This window comes from Homo sapiens, chromosome 3 (genome assembly GCF_000001405.40).
Source record: "Homo sapiens chromosome 3, GRCh38.p14 Primary Assembly".
Classification (NCBI taxonomy): domain Eukaryota; kingdom Metazoa; phylum Chordata; class Mammalia; order Primates; family Hominidae; genus Homo; species Homo sapiens.
Genome location: NC_000003.12, coordinates 112,051,842 through 112,070,655, shown reverse-complemented (window position 1 = coordinate 112,070,655; position 18,814 = coordinate 112,051,842). Strand labels below are relative to the sequence as shown.

The 18,814-nt window shown below is 39.6% G+C and overlaps 1 protein-coding gene across 5 annotated transcripts in view; it reads right to left on the bottom strand.

The window, feature by feature from the left end:
- Positions 1–18,814, bottom strand: part of TMPRSS7 (transmembrane serine protease 7) — a 46,534-nt gene that overhangs the window by 10,614 nt on the left and 17,106 nt on the right. For all 5 annotated transcript variants that reach the window (NR_026734.1, NM_001395507.1, XM_011512754.2 and 2 more), the window contains 4 exons: positions 13,525–13,631; positions 8,733–8,869; positions 7,024–7,131; positions 4,154–4,264 (listed from right to left, as the gene is read on the bottom strand). Coding sequence is in view for 4 of the 5 variants with exons in the window: in NM_001395507.1 (NP_001382436.1) it covers positions 4,154–4,264; positions 7,024–7,131; positions 8,733–8,869; positions 13,525–13,631 (463 nt within the window). In the remaining variant the exon portion in view is untranslated. The remainder of the gene's footprint in view (positions 1–4,153; positions 4,265–7,023; positions 7,132–8,732; positions 8,870–13,524; positions 13,632–18,814) is intronic.

Genomic DNA, 18,814 nt, shown 5'->3' with positions numbered 1-18,814 from the left:
CAGAGGTTGCAATCCTAGTTTCTAATAAAACAGACATTAAACCAACAAAGATCAAAAGAGACAAAGAGGGCCATTACATAATGGTAAAGGGATCAATTAAACAAGAAGAGCTAACTATCCTAAATATATATGCACCCAATACAGGAGCACCCAGATTCATAAAGCAAGTCTTTAGAGACCTACAAAGAGACTTAGACTCCCACACAATAATAATGGGAGACTTTAACACCCACTGTCAATATTAGACAGATCAACAAGACAGAAGGTTAACAAAGATATCCAGGACTTGAACTCAGCTCTGCACCAAGTGGACCTAATAGACATCTACAGAACTCTCTACCCCAAATCAACAGAATATACATTCTTATCAGCACCACATCACACTTATCTAAAATTGACCACATAATTGGAAGTAAAGCACTCCTCAACAAATGTAAAAGAACAGAAATCACAACAAACTGTCTCTCATAGACCACAGTGCAATCAAATTAAATCTCAGGATTAAAAAACTCATTCAAAACTGCACAACTTCATGGAAACTGCATAACCTGCTCCTGAATGACTAGTGGGTAAATAACGAAATGAAGGCAGAAATAAAGATGTTCTTTGAAACTAATGAGAACAAAGATGCAATGTACCAGAATCTCTGGGACACATTTAAAGCGGTGTGTAGAGGGAAATTTGTTGCACTAAACACCCACAAGAGAAAGCAGGAAAGATCTAAAATCAACACCATAACATCACAATTAAAAGAACTAGGGAAGCAAGAGCAAACAAATTCAAAAGCTAGCAGAAGGCAAGAAATAACTAAGATCAGAGCAGAACTGAAAGAGATAGAGACACAAAAAACCCTTCAAAAAAAAATCAATGAATCTGAGAGCTGGTTTTTTGAAATGATCAACAAAATTGATAGACCGCTAGCAAGATTAATAAAGAAGAAAAGAGAGAAGAATCAAATAGACTCAATAAAAAATGATAAAGGGGATATCACCACCAATCCCACAGAAATACAAACTGCATCAGAGAATACTATAAACACCTCTATGCAAATAAACTAGAAAATCTAGAAGAAATGGATAAATTCCTGGACACATATACCCTCCCAAGACTAAACCAGGAAGAAGTTGAATCTCTGAATAGACCAATAACAGGCTCTGAAATTGAGGCAATACTTAATAGCCTACCAACCAAAAAAATTCCAGGACCAGACAGATTCACAGCCAAATTCTATCAGAGGCACAAAGAGGAGCTGGTAACATTCCTTCTGAAACTATTCCAATCAATAGAAAAAGAGGGAATCCTCCCTAACTTATTTTATGAGGCCAGCATCATCCTGATACCAAAGCCTGGCAGAGACACAACAAAAAAAGAGAATTTTAGACCAATACCCCAGATGAACATTGATGCAAAAATCCTCAATAAAACACACTGGCAAACCAAATCCAGCAGCACATCAAAAAGCTTATCCACCATGATCAAGTGGGCTTCATCTTTGGGACACAAGGCTGGTTCAACATACACAAATCACTAAACATAATCCATCATGTAAACAGAACCAATGACAAAAACCACGTGATTATCTCAACAGATGCAGAAAAGGCCTTTGACAAAATTCAACAGCCCTTCATGCTAAAAACTATCAATGAACTAGGTATTGATGGAATGTATTTCAAAATAATAAGAGCTATTTATGACAAACCCACAGCCAATATCATACTGAATGGGCAAAAATTGGAAGCATTCCCTTTGAAAACTGGCCCAAGACAAAGATGTGCCCTCTCACCACTCCTATTCAACATAGTGTTGGAAGTTCTGGCCAGGGCAATCAGGCAGAAGAAAGAAGTAAAGGGTATTCGATTAGGAAAAGAGGAAGTCAAATTGCCCCTATTTGCAGATGACATGATTGTATATTTAGAAAACCCCATCATCTCAGCCCAAAATCTCCTTAAGCTGATAAGCAATTTCAGCAGTCTCAGGATATAAAATCAATGTACAAAAATCACAAGCGTTCTTACACACCAATAACAGGCAAACAGAGAGCCAAATCATGGGAGAACTCCCATTCACAATTGCTACAAAGAGAATAAAATACCTAGGAATCCAGCTTACAAGGGATGTGAAGGACTTCTTCAAGGAGAACTACAAACCACTGCTCAACAAAATGAAAGTGGACACAAACAAATGGAAGAACATTCCATGCTCATGGATAGGAAGAATCCATATCATGAAAATGGCCATACTGCCGAAGCTAATTTATAGATTCAATGCCATCTCCATCAAGCTACCAATGACTTTCTTCGCAGAACTGGAAAACACTACTTTAAGTTCATATGGAACCAAAAAAGAGCCTGCATTGCCAAGACAATCCTAAGCCAAAAGAACAAAGTTGGGGGCATCACGCTACCTGATTTCAAATTATACTACAAGGCTACAGTAACCAAAACAGCATGGTGCTGGTACCAAAACAGATATATAGAGCAATGGAACAGAACAGAGACCTCAGAAATAACACCACACATGTACAACCATCTGATCTTTGACAAACCTGACAAAAACAAGAAATGGAGAAAGGATTCCCTATTTAATAAATGGTGCTGGAAAAACTGGCTATGCAGAAAGCTGAAAGTGGATCCCTTCCTTACACCTTATACAAAAATTAATTCCAGATGGATTAAAGATTTAAATGTTAGACCTAAAACCATAAAGTCCCTAGAAGAAAACCTAGGCATTACCATTCAGGACATAGGCATGGGCAAGGACTTCATGACTAAAACACCAAAAGCAATGTCAACAAAAGCCAAAATAGACAAATGGGATCCAATTAAACTAAAGAGCTTCTGCATGGCAAAAGAAACTACCATCAGAGTGAACAGGCAACCTACAGAATGGGAGAAAATGTTTGCAATCTACCCATTTCACAAAGGGCTAATCTCCAGAATCTACAAAGAACTCAAACAAATTTACAAGAGAAAAACAAGCAACCCCATCAAAAAGTGGGCAAAGGATATGAACAGACACTTCTCAAAAGAAGACATTTATGCAGCCAACAGACACAAGAAAAAATGCTCATCATCACTGGTCATCAGAGAAATGAAAATCAAAACCACAATGAGATACTATCTCACATCAGTTAGAATGGCGATCACTAAAAAGTCAGGAAACAACAGGTGCTGGAGAGAATGTGGAGAAATAGGAATGCTTTTACACTGTTGGTGGGAGTGTAAACTACTTCAACCATTGTGGAAGACAGTGTGGCAATTCCTCAAGGATCTAGAACTACAAATACCATTTGACCCAGCCATCCCATTACTGGGTATATACCTAAAGGATTATAAATCATGCCACTATAAAGACACATACACACGTATGTTTATTGCGGCACTATTCACAATAGCAAAGACTTGGACCCAACCCAAACGTCCATCAATGATAGACTGGATTAAGAAAATGTGGCACATATACACCAGAGAATACTATGCAGCCATAAAAAAGGATGAGTTCATGTCCTTTGCAGGGACATGGATGAAGCTGGAAACCATCATTCTCAGCAAACTATCACAAGGACGGAAAACCAAACACTGCATGTTCTCACTTATAGGTGGGAATTGAACAATGAGAACACTTGGACACAGGGTGGGGAACATCACACACCAGGGCCTGTCAGGGGGTAAGGGCCTTGGGGAGGGATAGCATTAGGAGAAATACCTAATGTAAATGACGAGTTGATGGGTACAGCAAACCAACATGGCACAAGTATACCTATGTAACAAACCTGCACGTTGTGCACATGTACCCTAGAATTAAAGTATAATAATTTAAAAAGAAAGAAAAAAAGTGTTTTCAACACTAAAATAAAATTTTTAAAAATTGAAAAAAAAAAGGAGAATCTGCCAGTATTCACACATGAACACACACACACACTCACACACATACACACATTCCACTCCATTTAGAGTGACCAACTGTCCCTATTTGTCCCCTTGGGACTAAAGGGGTTCCCAAGACAAGGGACTTTCAGTGCTAAAACTGGAGAAGTTCCAGAGAACCTGGGACAAGTTGATTGCCCTAACCCCTAACCCATCAGAGGTATTTTTGTCCTGATTTAGAAGAGTTTCATAGGAGGAACAGCAGGGCACAGAGGACTCTCCCTCACTTTGAGTGCAGTTTTGCTCATCCCGGCCATTCTCACAGTCCCTGAAGCCATCACAGATGAGAGGGCCATGCTGCCTGAAGGAGCTGGTATTGCAGGCAGGTTGAGGGCTCACTAGAATAAAAAATAAAAACAGAAAGTTCACGAGCCTGAGACACCAGCTGGGTTCTCTGATGATCAGCAGTGCCAGTCTCAAGGTACAAATCATTAGGATGACCTATAAAACAAAAAGTGTATTTTCCTCAAAACTGACACTTCCATGAGGAAAAGTAGGTGTTTAAACTTTGGTGTGATTTCTAGCACGTTTTGTCAGATCTGATTTTTGCTTTTGTATAAATGCGTTAAACTCTGATGGCTTGTTTATTTAGTTACAATTAAATGCATCATAGTAATTTATTTTAAGGGAGATAGAAATCATAAGCTGTGATCTAAATCAAACTCGTCTACCTTCTGAAGCAAAATAAGAGTGTCCTGAGATTGGAGATTTTGTCTTCTTCATCTCCGTACCTCAAGCCCCCGAACAAATAGCAGTTGTTTACTCAAGGTTTGTTGAATGAATTCATGAATGTGAGATCTTAAAGGATAACAGACTTTGGGTTTATGTGGCCCTGTGGTCTCTTTGGAATTATTTTGTCTGATGAGATCCATTTCCTGAATTAGGAAATATTAATGTAAATCTATCATGTTTTTCCTCTTTGGAATAGTTTCATGAATTGCTTTTAGACCAGCAACAAGTACAAGCAAGCAAATTTAGAAAGTATGATTCCTTAGACATTTCTGGTTTTGTGAATAGTTATCAGTTTTGCTATCTGCACCTGTTTTTTCAGAGCTAGCTCTTGTGAGGGCAGGTAGGAGGATATTGCTGCCCTAAAATTGTTCATTAGGTCCCTCAGTATACCTAATGGACTCTTAGAGAATAGCTCCAAAAAATGGCACAATGAGGAATAATGATTACCAAAAAACAGTCCTTATTATAAATTAACAATAATCATTTTTGTTTGGAGAATCAGCACAAAAAATAATAATGTAAAAAAACTCAGTCATTATATAATGATCAGTATTTATTTTCTTAAGAAATAGAATACTATAGATTTAAATAATCAATGAACCATAAGCTAAGACAAATTTTGTGTTTTGTTTTGTCAATTAAAAAAATAAGGTATAAACTAGGCATGGTGGCTCGTGCCTGTAATCCCAGCAGTTTGGGAAGCCAAGGTAGGAGGACGGCTTGAGGTCAGGAGTTTTAGACTGGCTTGGGCAACACAGTGAGACCTCATCTGTATGAAAAACAAAAAAGAGTTAGTGGCATTGGTGGTGTGCGCCTGTATTCCCAGCTACTCAGGAGGCTGAGGAGGGAGGATCCCTTGAGCCCAGGAGTTCGACGCTGCAGTGAGCTATGATCACACCACTGCTCTCCAGCCTGGATGGCAGAGCAATACCTTGTCTCTAAAATATAAATAAATAAAGTATATAGTCACAGGTTATTTTTTATTAATATAATTTTCACTGTTAGATATAGCATATTAACTATATTTTTCCAAGGATACACAAAAGATTAAATAGCATCATCATTGTAACTGTATTTGATTTAAACACTCTGGACCTTCAGGACAAAATGCTGCCAATGGTGTCACATAGTCCAGTGAATTGTCCTTCCCATATTGCTCCCTGAAACTAGAGATAGATTCAAGAATGAGGTACAAATAGTCATGAAAAATTAAGACAGAGATTCTCCACCCAAAATAAGAATATCCAGTTACCCCACACCTTAGTCTTCACCAATGTGATGTCAATACAAATTGTACAGGTTAGAAAAATAACAACAAAACTTTTTCTTTTATGGGGCTGGCTGCAGTGGCTCGTGCCTGTAATCTCAACACTTTGGGAGGCCAAGGTGGTCAGAATGCTTGAGGCCAGGAGTTTGACACCAGCCTGGGCAGCCTGGGCAGTTTTATTAAAGACATTGTCTTTAATAAAAATCTTTTAAAAATTAGTGATACATGGTGGTGCACACCTGTAGTCCCAGCTACTCAGGAGGCTGACATGGGAGGATCGCTTGAGTCCAGGAAGACAAGACTGCAGTGAGCTGTGATTGTGCCACTGCACTCTAACCTGAGTGACAAAGCAAGACCTGGTCTCAAAGAAAAAAGAAAAGAAAACACACACACAAAACCCGTTCTCTTTTATTTACAAACAACATATGGGATCTGGGCTTCATAAAGGAGCACGCTGAAAGAGCACTTCTCTGCAAATTCTGAGCTTCTCTCTAGATGGAGAATCTGTGCCTTCAAACAGGATTTCGGTGTTTAAGATTGTGGTAAATTAAATTATTAGCCACAGATCTTTACTCCCCGTGGTAGTATTATGCACCCCAGTGTTACCATAGCCCCAAGGTGTACAGAGTGAATTTCCCTGCCCCTGACTTTGTTCTCAAGTATGTGACTTGATTTGAACAATAGAATGTAACACAAATGATGGTGTGCCAGTTCCAAGCCCAGGCCTTATGAGAAACCATGTGCTGCTGCTCTCCCCTCTTTTCCTTTTGCCACTGCCATGACTAGCCCACTGGCTCAATGAGGAAAAGAGCCATCAAAAGTAGAGCTGATTCCAATATTGGAAGAACCAAGCTCAGGTGGACCCAATGCTTGAAGCAGAGCCACCCATATGAGCCCAGCCTAGATTAGTCAGATCCCAGAAAATCCACAGATGCATGATCAAGAATAAATGATTGTTTAAGTCACTGGGTTTTGGGGTAGTTGGTTATGCAGTAATAGATAATAACTACAAATACTAAGGATATATATCAGCAGCAATCATGGTCCTGAGAAGTTACTTATTCATAAGAAAGTCATATTAAAATCTTGAATACCCACCGCAAAACAGTTCATCACTTTCATCAAAGCAGTCATTTACTCCATCACAACGCTGGGCCTGAGGGACACATAAACCGGAGGAGCATCTAAAAGATCCAACAGGGCAGGCTATGGGCAACAAAAAATCAAAAAATAGAAAATCTTGGATAGATCCCTGAAATCACTAGACCACATTAGCAAATTTAAAGTGTGAAGTGGTTAGGGAGTTGGCAGGGTAGCAGTAATAATTACATAGTGTCTTCATCAAATGAAGGCTGCCAGTCATTGAAAGACAAAAAAGCGGAACACAGAAGAGCAAAGAAGAAAGCAGTATCCACCTGGAGCTCTCTGTGAGCACTGCATTCAGGTCATATGCACAAGCAAACTTCTACTATCTCCATAGTCTAGTCTCAGCTGGGTGACTTTGTCATATACCTGAAGAATGTGAAAGTTGGAACATACCTAAGGGAGCCCAGCATTCCTAATGTGGAGTCTTTAGACAGCACTAGAGAATCTTAAATTGACTTCTGGTGTCCCTGAATCTTCTGTGATCAGATGAGTTATCCTGTATGTCTTAAATTACATTTTCAAGTGAGCTGTGCTCCAAAACATATTAGTAACCACTGCTCTTATCACGTTGGACCTAGAGAGATTACTTACTGGCCTCGAACCCAGACTCCTGCCCCTTACCTCCCTGTCCACTAGTCTTTCCTCTTCAACCAGGCTTCTGATTAATGATCCATTCCCTGATTCAAGATTCATTCCCGATCTTGAATCATTCATCCTGAGTTCGTAGGTAAACATTAGAGAAATAATGAATCCTTCCTCCCCTTTTGCAAAAGAATGGGGGAAAGTGTATGGTCGAGGGAAACACTATTTCAATGGCACATGATGGAATGGATGAGAAGCTGGAAAATAGTTATGGTTTAAAAAAACAATTAAAAATAAGACAGCTTGCTTTATCTACCTGTGACTCTGCTGGAAACTGTAATACTCTGTAATTCAGGATGTAATATTCTTAATCTAGAAGAAGATCTATTAGGGATTGGCAAAGAAGGACATGGTCTAAAGAAATGTTCTCTCAAGTCATATCCCTGTGGACTCTTCAGTGGGCAATCTTTACTTTTTCCCTCTTAAGATGGGTCAAAGATTTCCTGAGCATGTCATTACCCACTCTCTGTAGTTCTAATGACTTCCCTCACACATTGCCTTTTCTGATGAGCACTTCCTGGCCGCTCTTCCAGTAGTTTTCAGTATGAATTTCAAACTCAATATTCTGAGGGCTGATATTTGAACTCCCTCTACCAAACAGCTCTTCCTGTGCAAACACAGGCCAAAGTGAGTGACAAGTGTTGGCTTTGGATCCACTACATGTTGGTGTAAACATCATATTTACAGAGAATGATGGCTAGCAAGAACTACAAACCAATACATGTCTTGTCTTTAAGGAATAGTGTAAGAAATTATTTTTCAACTATAAATCAGTAATATTAAAAAGTTATATTATTTCTTTAATAATTCAAAGTATAGTAGTAATAAATATGTAATCTTATATATTTGTTATATTTATTTGTATTTTATAATTATTATTTATTATAGAAATAAGTATGTAAAAGGAAATAGCAGAAATAAAGCAGTATTCATTTCTTAAATTCTCACGGTTTGGAATTATAAAATGTTATCCTCTATGTAAGTATTAAGTTTTCCTAAGGAGGTGATCCTAGGCTTACGTTGACTGATGTTGTAACTGCCATATTCTGCCAAAAGTGGCTTGTCTGAAAGCCTTGAACTGCACTGGAGCTGAATGTGAACCAGAGGGCTGGGCACTCGAAAAATTGTCTGATGATCCATGTAGGAGCCACAGTACCTGGGGAGACAAGAGTCGGGGAGAATACACAGCTTGAGGTTCTGTCGACTGAATTCCCATTCATGGTGAATTCTCTAATACTTTGGTCATTTGGTTTTCACAAACAGAGATGCGTATGGTAGAGCTAATGGTAGTTATTCATTCTAGGCCATGTGACTGTGATCAAGTAACTTCTGCCCTCTTTATTTTCTCCTCTGCTTAATGGAACAATAATAGTACCATTGACCTGTTGCTTTCCTCACCATCACTTATGATCCAAAGAAATATGGATTTAATTCTCCCAGTTTTCTCTCCTTTTACAATGTGAAAACCTGTGTAATGTAAGAATTGCCTGCTTTTGTCAACAAGCCGCTCTGCCAAGCAAAGTGGAGTTCATTCAATCAGGTTGAAAATATGCAAAGAATTCCAGCAAGACTAAAAGCAAAAGACAACATTATTTCAGTCTAAATTGAAATCTGACGTGCACATAAGGGCTTGTCCTTGGCAAAATTTCAAAGAATTAATGTCCGTCTCCAATATTTCCCTACCTTGATTATTTTTTCTTACCTCTCATCACCTAATGCCCCCCAGTATCCTTTAGAGAAAATATCCCTCCTGTTAATAATTCTCACTACATTAGCACTGTGGTTAGTGGAGCATAGCATACAGTATTATTATATTGCAGGCCCGTAAGTTAGTCCACCGCCCTGTGTAGATGAGGCTCTTCCCACAGAGAAACCTGAAAGATCTTGATGGGAGACAGCAGACACAAGGCTTGGGGGTAATTGTTGTGGGAAGTCAGGGACCCTGAATGGAGGGACCGGCTGAAGCCATGGCAGAAGAACGTGGATTCTGAAGATTTCATGGACATTTATTAGTTCCCCAGATTAACACTTTTATAATTTCTTATGCCTGTCTTTACTGCAAATCTCTAAACATAAATTGTGAAGATTTCATGGACACTTATCACTTCCCCAATCAATAACCTTGTGATTTCCTACACCTGTCTTTACTTTAATCTCTTAATCCCATCATTTTGTAAGGTGAGGAGGATGTATGTCACCTCAGGACCCTGTGATGATTGCGTTAACTGCACAAATTGTTTGTAGAGCATGTGTGTTTGAACAATATGAAATCTGGGCACCTTGGAAAAAGAACAGGATAACAGCAATGTTCAGGGAACAAGAGAGATAACCTTAAACTCTGACCGCTGGTGAGCCAGGCAGAACACAGCCATATTTCTCTTCTTTCAAAAGCAAATGGGAGAAATATCACTGAATTCTTTTTCTCAGCAAGGAACATCCCTAAGAAAGAGAATGTGCCCCTGAGGGTGGGCCTCTAAAATGGCCCCCTTGGGTGTGGTCATCTTCTATGATCGAGACTGTAGGGATGAAATAAGCCCCAGTCTCCCTTAGTGCTCCCAGGCTTATTAGGACGAGGAAATTCCCGCCTAATAAATTTTTGGTCAGACCGGTTGTCTGCTCTCAAACCCTGTCTCCTGATAAGATGTTATCAATGACAATGTGTGCCCGAAACTTCATTAGCAATTTTAATTTTGCCCCGGTCCTGTGGTCCTGTGATCTCGCCCTGCCTCCATTTGCCTTGTGATATTCTATTACCTTGTGAAGTACATGATCTCTGTGACCCACACCCTATTCGTACACTCCCTCCCCTTTTGAAAATCACTAATAAAAACTTGCTGCTTTTGCGGCTTGTGGGGCATCACGGAATCTACCAACATGTGATGTCTCCCCCAGACAGCCAGCTTTAAAATTTCTCTCTTTTGTACTCTGTCCCTTTATTTCTCAACCCAGCCGATGCTTAGGGAAAATAGAAAAGAACCTACATGACTATCGGGGGCAGGTTCCCCAATAGGTAATGACCTCCACTGGAACCTGTGATGCCAATTACTCTAGGCCCCTAAAGCACTCGGGAAACAGGCATCTTCCATGGATCAGACACTGGCATTCAGGAGCACAGATAACCTGTGATTTTAAGGATTAAAGGAGGAAAGCATTCATGTGTTTTTCAGGAAGAGTCTTTTGCAATTGGCTGAAGTACAGGAACTGATAACCTGTTAGACCAACTCCTGAGGTATGAGGAAGAGATGGCAAGTGCAGATGTCCTTCTGGCTAACTGGGAGCCAGGGTCTGAGAGGCACCTGAAAGCCAAGCCATGCCAAACTTTTGGAGTCAGAGTTGGCCATCTTGAGATCAGAATCCTGTGCCCATAAAAACATGCTGATTATGTTATCTGAATCTCATAGTGATTTCCTTTGTGCTCACCATTAACATTTAGTAGAGTTTCCTTGCAAAGATGAGCCTTGCTAGGCATGTTAAGGGGAATCAAGAGGAAAGAGATCACAGGCTTGGGCTGGAGTTTAAAGGGGGAGAGTATGCAATGGGGAATAATGGTGGCTTGTGAAATGAGTTTTAAAACTGAGAAACACGAGAAAGCCAGCAAGAGTCAGTTTATATAGACAGACACATGACAAGTGAGGAAACTAAGACATAAAGACGTGAAATAACTTGCCAAAGTTCAAATAGCAAGTAAGTAAAACCAAGATTTGGATGCCAACTGGCCTGATGCTAAACTCTAGCACACCAAAGCAGTTCTGTCCTGCTAAATCTTTGTAAAAAGGCCATCCATTTCTTCGGGGTTCATATACCGTAGTCCAGCTGCCCTGAGCATTCACACCTCACCCCCAGGCTGTCTAGAGGAGATCATTAGGCTTCTTCCAGTCAGGATTACTTTTTCCTCCTTCCCCATTATAGCCTCAATTTCCTTAGGCTAACTGCTCAGCAAGGTGTCTAGTTAGCACAATTAGAGCTTTTCCTTTTTAGATGAAAAGTACTTGATAATGTGAAGGGCTGGCATTTTAAATCCTGAGGGTAAAGAAGCATCAAATGAATCTGATAGGATTTCAGCCAGCCCACAAGCCTAGTGAAGAACTGGCCCTTTAGGAAAGGATGGGGCTGAGAGAGCTTTCCTGGTATTGCTTGGGAGCAGATTCTGCTCCTACTTAGGCAGCAATAAACACATCCCGGGTCGTTGTTGTGATTTAGGGATAAAATAGTTCCTCATTTTCAAAGCACAGCTCCGTCACAGGCTTACACCTTCACAAAAGATTTGTAAAGATTTGTTTTCTTTACAAATCTCTATTTTAATTAAATACCAAAATGCAGTATCTTTAAAGCCTTGGGGGCACGTTCTATAGTATTTATCCAACAAGTGTCATTTCAAAAACAATCTTGTTATTCATATTAATAATAGCTAGTATTTTTTGCTTTGTGGTATACATGATTTCGTAAATGCAAACCAAAAAACAAACAAGAAAAACTTATTAAGAATCATTACCTCATTTCACCAACCAAAACTCAAAGAAGTTAAATAATTTGCCCTAGTTAATGTAGCTACTAAACGATAGAGCTGGAACTTGAACCCAGGTCTTCTGACTCCCACAACATAGAGTCTTGATTCAATTACACTCCCCAAAACAATACAGTCTGCATTTTAATAGTGAATCCAAGAATGTCCTTAAATTTGATAAAGCCTATTCCAATGAAGACAGGACCAGTTATTTTGCAAGTAGTCTGTCTAAAGGAATTGAAAGAAGTTTGTTCTGAAAAAGCACTTAGAAAGGGAAGGTTTCACTCATAGAATAACAATGAGCAAAGAAGTAGCAGCAAATCCTTTAACTTAACAGAATTCTCTGAAAGTGAACTAAGAAGATATTCTGTGGTCAAGACAGGGCATCCTGTATTTTTGAAAACCTATTCAAGGGCTGGGTGTGGTGGCTCATGCCTGTAATCCTGGAACTTTGGGAGGCTTAGGAAGGTGGATCACTTGAGGTCAGGAGTTTGACACCAGCCCGGCCAACATGGCAAAACCCCATCTCTACTAAAACTACAAAGATTAGCCAGGTATGGTGGTGCGTGCCTGTAGTCCCAGATACTTGGGAGGCTGAGGCAGGAGAATTGCTTGAACCCAGGAGGCAGAGGTTGTAGTGAGCCAAGATCGCACCACAGCACTCCAGCCTGGGTGACAGAGCAAAACTCTGTCTCAAAAAAATAAAAATAAAAAACCAAAACAAAAAACAAAACTATTTAATTCAGTGCCTATGTAATCTGTTATAGATTTAGAAGGAAATCAACAACAATAATTAAGAGACAAATTAAGAGTGAGAGTGAGCACCTAGTACATTGGTTCTACAGCCAAGTAGATTGGTTCTAGCCCTAAGCCCCTAGATTTCTGATTAGCTTCAACCCATTTCCCAGTCTCAGGATCCAGCCAGGCCAACTGGGACTTTCCTACCACACAGAATTGGTCAATGGTCTCTAACATTTTTTTTCAGCAGAACCCCAATTTATTATATTCCCCCATGGATCCAGGATTTGAAAAACTCATCTGCCAAATACTCTTGTGAAGTGTGGAATATACATATCTGTAGCCCAGCAGCAGAGAGCAGTGGTGGGGCAGGAGCCCTAAGACATGGGTTTGAATCCTGCCTCCATCACTCATGAGCTGCATGGCCTTGAGCAAGTTACATAACTCCTATATCCCTCAGTTTCCCTAACTGTAAATGGTAAAGCGCAAACTCTTTGAGGACAAGGAACACACAGCTATGAACTTTTCATCAGATGCCTCACATATGAAAACATATGAAAATCACTTACATGTGCTCATTAATTTCCCACCATCCATGCTCACAGCCTTTCATACTCTTCTTGGTTATTGAATAGTTATAGAATTTCAGTGCTATGCCAAGAGTTGATAGAGAAGTCTGTGAAAATAAACATTAAGTCAGAAAAAAATGCTTCAATCAAAGTATGTATTTACTTATTCCCTTGGCTTGTTGTTTTAAGGCCATTCTACTTGCGCCCTGTGGCCCTTAGTGGGGTAAACCAGTTCTCCTGAACAAAGCGGGATAAGGAGGAGAGCGTTCTGAAGAAGGAAGCAGGCAGCCATGTATTCAGGGAGCAGCTGCTGGGTCCCAAGTGGAGCGGGGTGACTTGAGACTTATCAGCATCTCTGGGTTTCAGTTTCTCCCTGTTAGTGTGAACTTAACTTTAATAACACCCACTTGTTAATGAGTGTAAACACCTTACTCTTTTAATGTACATATGACACAACTGATTTAAAGCATCATTCAGATTCTTTAGATAAAGGAGAAATGAATCAGCCTCCTCTTCATATTAAATTCAGTATTTCTGAAGGCTGTTAGTGAGTCACCCCTAGATCTTCTTGGAAGACCTCAGAAGAGAAAGCTGTCTACGTATATGAGCAAATGTGTGTGTGTGCGTGTGTGTGTGCATGCACCACACCAGTCCATGCACACACACACTATGCAACTCACTTTTTTGTTGCATTTTGTGGTATACATCTGTATTATGTCTGATATGACAAAGTTTTCATTTTGATTTTCACTTTGACCCAGGAATTATTTAAGGAATTTTTATATTTAAGAGAGTCAAATTTGGGTTCATCCATTTTTAAGCTTTCTAATTCTTAGTTGAATAAGAGTATCATTTATAGTGCCTTAAATTTTTTAAATTTTGTGGTCAAATTTATGAATGCTTCATGGTCACTTTAAAAAAGGAGTAGTCTGCATATCTATAATATGAAACTCGTGTATGATATTCAATATTTAATATCCTGCTTTGCCTTATTTATTGTCCTCCACTATCTCTGTCATGAATGAAGAGACTTAAAATTCCTTATTTAAGCATTGCCCACTTCTTTGCTTATTTTTTTTTACTTTTTTTGTAAAATAATTTTTATAGAGACAGGGTTTCACCACATTGCCCAGGCTGGTCTCGAACTCCTGGGCTCAAGTGATCCACCTGCCTCAGCCTCCAAAAGTGTTGGGATTATAGGCGTGAGCACTGTGCCTAGCCGGCATTGCCCACTTCTCTCTTTGTATTTCCACTTGTTTTTGATTTATGAGTATTACTGCTGTTTTGTTTGCTGCATAAACAATTGACGTAATCACATCTTGTGGATCATCGTCTTCATCATTATAAATTGCTTTTTGTCTGGTACTTGTAAATCAGGGGTATCGTTGCCCTGATTTCAGTGTTGCCTGGTACTGATTGTGAACTCTGCTTTTTGTTGTTTATACTTGCCTGATACATTGCCCATCCTTTTTGTTCAGCCTTATTGAATTGCTTTTTAGTTCATTTTGTCATTTGAAAATAACATAAAGTTCAGTTTTAGGTAATACTTTGTAATTCAACCTTATTGTCATTTTCTTTAGGTGAATTTTACCCATTACTTGTATTGCTCTGAAAGACATTTTAGTTATGTCATCGTATTATATGTTATGCTGTGTGTGTGTGTGTCTGTGTGTGTGTCTGCGCAAGTGTTTGCTTGTTTCCAATGTGCATTTGAATAGAGTAAACCACCCCTCACCACCTACCTTTGAGGGAGAATGAATCAGGCACTTTATGTTTCTCACTTAAACATCACAACAACCCTGTTGTGCAGGTAGTGTGAATCCCATTGCACAGAAGTAAAAACCAAGACTAACCAAGATAAGTAACTTTTCCAAGGTTAAAAAATGCAGACCACAGATTCAGACCAGCCCTGCATGTCTCTGAAGGTCACCCTTTTCCCGGTGTATCAGGCTGCTTGGATACCAACATGGGGGGCTCAATCGGAAAAGGATTCTCTTATGTTTACCGAAAACCCAGGGCTCATAAGAACACATATCAATTTTTTTTAAGTCTTCTCATCTGGTTATTTCTTCACATAAAAAATATGTAAACTGGCCGGGTGCAGTGGCTCACGCCTGTCATCCCAAGCACTTTGGGAGGCCCAGGAGGGCGGATCACGACGTCAGGAGATCGAGACCATCCAGGCTAACACGGTGAAACTCCGTCTCTACTAAAAATAGAAAAAATTAGCTGGACTTGGTGGCGGGCGCCTGTAGTCCCACCTACTCGGGAGGCTGAGGCAGGAGAATGGCGTGAACCTGGGAGGCGGAGCTTGCAGTGAGCCGAGATGTGCCACTGCACTCCAGCGTGGGCGACAGAACGAGACTCCGTCTCAAAAAAAAAAAAAAAAAAAAAAAAAAAAAGCAAACTGAGAGATAGTAAATATGTTAAGTAACTAATGTAAATCTTATAATGTAAGAACATCTTCCAGTGCAATCTTCTACAAGAAGCTCAGTTAGGCATTTTCACTAGATTCCACAGCTTCAACATAAAAATGGATTCATATGTAACACTACCTTCCAATCCACAGAGTTCCTCCATAGTGAAAAGAAATGAGTCCCCTTGCACACTGATTCCACTAACACAGAATTGCACACAATTCTACATTTGTATACAGATTGGCCAAAAGTCATTACTTATATTAACCTGCTTGACAGACAGAGGGGTGACATTTAGTTTCACAATGCATTGCAAGCTATTTCAACAAATGAACAAAAAATAAGTCCACTATTATATGTTCTGTGTTCTCTGTTTCTGTTCCCTATCCTCTGCCTTTGCATTGGGAACTTTAATCAAGTAAAGGGAGGAATTTTCCCGATCTGGACCTGTAATATTTAAATATTTCTCTAGTCAGTGATGGTGATAGGATGCAGGAGGCTTCATCTTTCAGCCCACCCCTAATTTGCCAGTGGTGGTGTGTACACAACCCAAGAACCCACCTCAGATGAGCAGTGAAAGTTTCTGTGGTAAAACTGCTTGCATATTTCCTTCACAGAAGCAGGGAATGGAGCTCCCTTCTGGGGAATCTTGTGCATTTCCTAAGTGATATAAGGAGGTGACTTACATGGCCCGTAAAAATCCATGCTTATGCCTGGCAGACCTAAATTGGATGGTGCTGTGCTGATGACTTTTGTGATAAAACAATTCAAAGCACTGCTGCATATTCCTTTTCTAAGATTCTATAACAAAATGTATTGGAATACAAAAAAGAAGGGAGGTGGTAAATGTTCAGCTAAGTGATTGTTAAGAAACGTAGGGAAGCAGAACATCTTTAGAAACCCAGAAAAGGAGAAGGGGCTGAATTTATTTATGGAGGAGGCATGATTCCTTCTAGTCCTACCTGGGTCACTTTCTGTTTGAGTGATCCCTAGCAAATGATTCAACCCATCTCTTTTCCCATACCTATAAAATGTGCTAAGAATATGTCTTCTGTATTAGAGGTGTGTTTTGAAGGGCAAATAAAAATATGTTGCCAAAAACACTGAAGTGCTAAACAAATATAGACAACAGAATACAAACTCAACACCCTTTTTTGGTTGTACTTATCTGTTCCTTCTTCCCCTGTAGTCTGTAAGCTCCATGAGAACAAGAACTTTATCTTGCTACTAGGCATCCCCATATAGAGCCTGGCACGTGGCAGACATTTAATAAGCATTGTTGAGTGGACAAGAGAGCTTGAGAGAAGAATCTTTAAGCTGTAGCAGGAGTTAATCCTTCTCAGATAAATAAGACCTTAAAGCTCAGCTGGAAGTGAGTTTGCAAAGGGGGTTGACTGCTCTTCAGCAAATTTCAAAATGGGACCAGACACTAAGATGGATTGAGGAGAATATAAACTAACTTTTGTGTAAAAAACTTTTGTCATAACGAGTCAATATTTTTGTTACTTAAGTCATCGAGTTTTTTTTTTTAATAAATTCAAAGCTATTTTACAGGTGAAAAAAAAAGTCAATTTTACACTGATTTCCATTCACAGTAACATGCCCTGATGTTTTCAAAGCTTTCTGAAAAGGAACAGTTTTATTTAACCTCTACACTGAGGAGGACAAACTTCCTCTCTGAGAGATGACAACAGCTAACACGTTTGTCCTGCTGTTTCCTGCCTCCTTTCTCCCACTCCTCACTTGCTCACTGGGATGTCCTTTTCCTTCTAAAGACTTTTTTTTTTTTTCTTCAGCATTTCTCACCCCCAACCCCTAGCAAAACAGTAAATGATCCAATATTCTTTTTCACACCCTGACTAAAAGTCCCAACAAAGTTTTAAAATTTTCATTTTAAGGCTATGGATTATTAAGAAGTCAACCTTTATTTTATCTCAAAGGAATTTCAAACATTCGACAGAGCTTTTGAGAATGGCACTGTCTTTTTCTGCTATCACACAAGCTCAAGAAGGTAAATCTGCTTTGTGGAGAGACTGAAGAAATGGAGATTTGTTTCCTTTCCCTCTTCCTTCCCTAACCCTTTCTTTCATCTCCTCTTTTCCTCTCCTCCTCAGACTTGCTGCTTATCTGAGGCCCTGCATTTCTGCTGCCCTGAAGCCTTGAGAACCTGGCAGTGAGCAAGGGTCCAGCACCTTTATCTCTTAATTACTTTGGAAATATTTGTAATAATGATTTTTTTTTAAATTTAAGGACACATGCCATCAGGGTATTGACACCAACTTACAGGTTTGGGTAGAGTAATGAAATTATTTTAACTATTTAACTATTATGACTATGCACAAAAAAAAAATATGCATCAAGCACCCTCCTGCCTCAGAGTCCCTGGCTCAGCTGTTCTCTTTGCTTGCAACATTCTTATCCTGGTATTCACAAGGTTAGTTCCGTCATCTTTCAGGTTTATCCGCAAATGTCCCCTTGTCAGCAAGACTTTCCCTGATCATCCTATTTAAGATAACAAACACCTAACTTGTTATGCTTCACACCTCCCACCCCCAACTCAGGCTATAGAGCCCCCTTCCCTGCTTTATTTTTCTCCATAGCATTTTATCATTACGAGACATATTACGCGTATTTAACTTGTTTGTTTATTACTTGCCTTCCCCTACTGGAAGGTAAGCTCCATGAGAGCAGGGCTGCTGCTCTGTGTTTGTGTCTGATTTCGTGGATCCCCAGTATCTGGAATCGTGCCTGAGTGCCTGGCCCATAGTAGTCATTCAATAATATGTTGAATAAACGCAAACAACATACTGCTTGCCACTTACATCTAATTCATCTAATTGCTATGCCACACAATAATGAGTCTATACGTATAT